The sequence below is a fragment of the Homo sapiens genome, chromosome 15 (assembly GCF_000001405.40).
Source record: "Homo sapiens chromosome 15, GRCh38.p14 Primary Assembly".
Lineage (NCBI taxonomy): Eukaryota > Metazoa > Chordata > Mammalia > Primates > Hominidae > Homo > Homo sapiens.
Window position 1 is genome coordinate 44,231,224 of NC_000015.10, and position 4,467 is coordinate 44,235,690.

Sequence of the window (4,467 nt, forward strand, 5' to 3'; positions counted from 1 at the left end):
GGTTTCACCATGTTGCCCAGGGTGATCTCCAACTCCTGAGCTCAGGAGATCCGCCCGGCCTGGCAGTATTGTTTATAATATTGATTGCTTTTCTTGCCAAAAGAATTCTAAAATTACCTATAGTTTCCTTTTCTTTTTTATTCAGAGGACTCTGTACCAACACAAAGAAATCAAAGATTGGGCCCGGCACAGTGGCTCACGCCTGTAATCCCAGCACTTTGGGAGGCCAAGGCCGGCAGATCACGAGGTCAGGAGATCGAGTCCTGCCTAACACGGTGAAACCCCGTCTCTACTAAAAATACAAAAATTAGCTGGGCACGATGGCAGGCGCCTGTAATCCCAGCTACTCAGGAGGCTGAGGCAGGAGAATTGCTTGAATCCGGGCGACAGAGGTTGCAGTGAGCTGAGATCGCACCACTGCACTACAGCCTGGGTGACAGAGTGAGACTCTGTCTCAAAAAGAAAAAAAAAAAGAAAAGAAAACAAAGATTTTGCTTGAAAAATCTGGTCCATTTGGATTCTTGGGCTAAATTTTTGCATGGGCATGGCAACTTATCCATGAAAGTAAAGTCAGAAAGTGTGTAATAGCTAAAGAGTGAACCAATGTCATTAAAAGAAACAGGATTATATTAACCAAAGCTGTTTACCAAAAGCTTTAATAAGGATTCAAGGAAAGGAGGAAGTAACCCCACATCTATATCAAAAGATTTCTTTTGCAGAACTCTGCTCCAAGGAAGACAAACAGAGATTATAGCTTTTTGTTTTTTTCTTACACTGGTTGTATTCCAGTATGACTCATTTCTTGTTCTAAACTATTCTGCTTTCCTTCTATTTGATCCCCAAAGTCTGAAAACTAAAGATAGACAAGATCTGCTTGGCTAGCTAATCTTTTTCTCCCGAGTAGTCAGAGCTTCATGCCTTGGAGACTTTTTTTTCTATTTGACATTCATTTTAAATGTCTCAAAGGCACCAACCAGAATGTGAGCCCTATGTAGGTAGGGACATTGTCTGTGTTATTCCTGAATCCCCAGTTCCTAGCAGAGTGTGCAGTCCAAAGAAAGTACTCAATAGTTTTTTGAATAGAGCTTGCTTAGGCAGCACATATACTAAATTTGGAACAATAATTGTTTTGAATAATGCAATACATAAATGAGAAGAATGCATTAAGAAGAAATGATGTGGTTGGGAGCTGTGGCTCATGCCTATAATCCCAGCACTTTGAGAGGCCGAGGCAGGTGGATTGTCTGAGCCCAGGAGTTCGCAACCAGCCTGGGCAACATGGTGAAACCCTGTCTCTACTAAAATACAAAAAATTAGCCAGGCATGGCGGCGTGTGCCTGTGGTCCCAGCTATTCGGGAGGCTGAGGCAGGAGAATTGCTGGAACCTGGGAAGCAGAGGTTGCAGTGAACCAAGATAACGCCACTGCACTCCAGCCTGGGTGACAGAGGGAGACTCCGTCTCAAAAAAAAAAAAAAAAAGAAGAAGAAGAAATGATGTTACTATATAGTAAATTGTGAGATATTAGTACTTTGGGGTTTTGTTATTTTATTTGTTTTTTGTTGATTTTATTTTATTTGTGTGTGTACTGTGATTTTTTTTTTCTTTTTCTATTTTTTTGAGATGGAGTCTCACTCTATCACCCAGGCTGGAGTGCAGTGGCATGATCTTGGCTCACCACAACCTCCACCTCCCGGGTCCAAGTGATTCTCCTGCCTCACCCTCTCGAGTAGCTAGGACTACAGGCGCATGCCACCATGCCCAGCTAATTTTTGTATTTTCAGTAGAGACGGGGTTTCACTATGTTGGCCAGGCTGGTCTTGAACTCCTGACCTCGTGATCCGCCTGCCTTGGCCTCCCAAAGTTTTGGGATTACAGGCGTGAGCCACCATGCCCAGCCCTGTGTTGTATTTTGCACCTAGAAAGTGCTGTTAGAGCCTTAAGTGAGGAGTACTAGGAATATGCACAATTAAGCATTTCATAGTAATGGTTTCTCTCATAGAAAATTGAAATCTTCAAGGTGCATATTTGGAAAAATCCCAAATCTTGATTTTCGATAAGGTAGAAGTACATAATTTTAGAAGTGTATAATTTTATACATGATTTGTAAGAGGAGCTTAGAATTAAATTAGCAAAAAGTGTCTTTCACAGAGAAGGCATTTCAGAGACTGATTATTGAATTTAATTATATTATCTTATAAATCAAGTGGTAGGGATGGAAGAGACAAGTAGATGACCTATGGAAAAAAAACACTGGCATACTGAACTGGATAATTTTCATATTCAAATGCCTTTGGTTACTTAGTATCTTCAACCATTTACAGATAATGCCCCAGCATCCCTAGAAGTATTACTATGTGAGTGTCACTGAGCACTTAGATGGTCAATAGCAAGTAGAGGCTGGGCGTGGTGGCTCACGCCTGTAATCCCAGCACTTTTGGAGGCCAAAGCAGGCAGATCATGAGGTCAGGAGATTGAGACCATCCTGGCCAACACGGTGAAACCCCATCTCTACTAAAATACAAAAAATTAGCCGGGCGTGGTGGCGCACATCTTTAGTCCCAGCCACTCAGGAGGCTGAGGCAGGGGAATCACTTGAACCCGGGAGGCGGAGGTTGCAGTGAGCTGAGATTGCACCACTGCACTCCAGCCTGGTGACAGAGCAAGACTCTGTCTTAAAAAAAAAAAAAAAGGCAAGTAGAAGGGATATTGGAAAAAGATGCTTGATGCTTGTCCTTATTCCATTTCAGGTAATTAGTCAATAAAATTTAATTGCAATTTTAGGAAAAAGGTTTGACAATAGTATTCCCAAAGCGATTTCTAGGCATGGCAAAGTTTATCAGATGCTCTGTAGACATAACTTCATACATCCTCCAACACCCTACAGGAGGAAAAGTTCTACTTCTGTACTGCTTAATATGTATGTTTGAAGGCAGCTTTCTTTCATTTTTTTTTTTTTTTGAGACTGAGTCTTGCTCTGTTGCCCAGGCTGAAGTGCAGTGGCACGATCTTGGCTTACTGCAACCTCCACCTCCCAGGTTCAAGTGATTCTCCTGCCTCAGCCTCCCAAGTAGCTGGAATTACAGGTGTGTGCCACCACACCTGGCTAATTTTTGTATTTTTAGTAGAGACAGTGTTTCACCATGTTGACCAGGCTGGTCTTGAACTCCTAACCTCAGGTAATCCGCCTGCCTCAGTCTCCCAAAGTGCTGGGATTACAGGGGTGAGCCACCGTACCCAGCCTGAAGGAAGCTTTCGAATTAGGGTGACTAACTGGTCCTGATTTGCCAGGACTTTCTCAATTTGTTAAAAAAGTTCTGTATCCTAGGAAATTCATCCGTCCCAGGAAAACCAGGATGGTTGATCATCCTACTTTGAAAATTTCTTTCAAAAAAGCATAGAAAACTTACTTGAACCTATCCGGATTTCTTAATGTACCTCTTTTCTCCTTCTTTTCTTTTTCAAGTTTATAGTTTTTCTATTGAAATCCTGAAATGTTTTTCCCTTGTACCTCTGTTGACTTGTTTCCCTTAGTTTATTGTAGATTTATATGCCAAGGTTTTTGTTTTATAGCTGAACGCTTACTATATTTGTTAAGCTCTAAATAGGTGGATGGTCTCCATGAATTTTATTTGAGTGAATAAATAATGCATCAGATAAGGTGATACAGGTGCATTGACAGGCTTTCTTTTATTAGCTTGAGCCTTTATTTATTTATTTATTTATTTGAAACTGAGTGTTGCTCTGCCACCCAGGCTGGAGTGCAATGGCACAATCTTGGCTCACCGTAACTTCCGCCTCCCAGGTTCAAGCGATTCTCCTCCCTCAGCCTCTCAAGTAGCTGGGACTACAGGCACACGTCACCATGCCTGGCTAATTTTTTGTATTTTTAGTAGAGACAGCATTTCACCATGTTGGCCAGGCTGGTCTCAAACTCCTAACCTAAGGTGATCCACCCACTTCGGCCTCCCAAAGTGCTGGGATTACAGGTGTGAGCCACACGCCCTGCCCGCTTGAGCCTTTATAATGAGGGATCTTAGAATGAAAATGAACACTAACGAAATTGTGCTTTATAGATTTGAAAATACAAGAGTATGATAATATTTGGTGGCATAAAGATTTCTCCTTTTTGGAATTTTCCCTCAGTTTTTAAAAAATAATTCAATCCCTTTTTCTCTTGGTTTACTGTATCCCAAAGTGGGGCACACATACCACTAAGATACAGGAAATAATTTTAGGTGATAGGCACAACATCAATTAACTTGGGCAACAAATATAATATTTTCCTTTTAATTTTCTTTTAATAACACTGATTATGTCAAGAAGAAAGTTTCACTTTAATGCTAATATGTCTTAACATCTTTCTAACATCTACCAATCTTCCTTTATAACAAAGAGTGAGTCCAGCCTTGGGCTGAGAGTCCAAGAGTATCTAGCTGGAATTTGATGAAAAAGTTTTATTTTTGTTG

General features: G+C 41.2%; 1 annotated feature.

The window, feature by feature from the left end:
* Window positions 614-814: a silencer, noted in NCBI's record as "peak2318 fragment used in MPRA reporter construct". NCBI's record gives its function as "represses an SCP1 promoter by STARR-seq MPRAs in K562 erythroleukemia cells {active_cell/tissue: K562}" and the evidence as "EXISTENCE:reporter gene assay evidence [ECO:0000049][PMID:32103011]".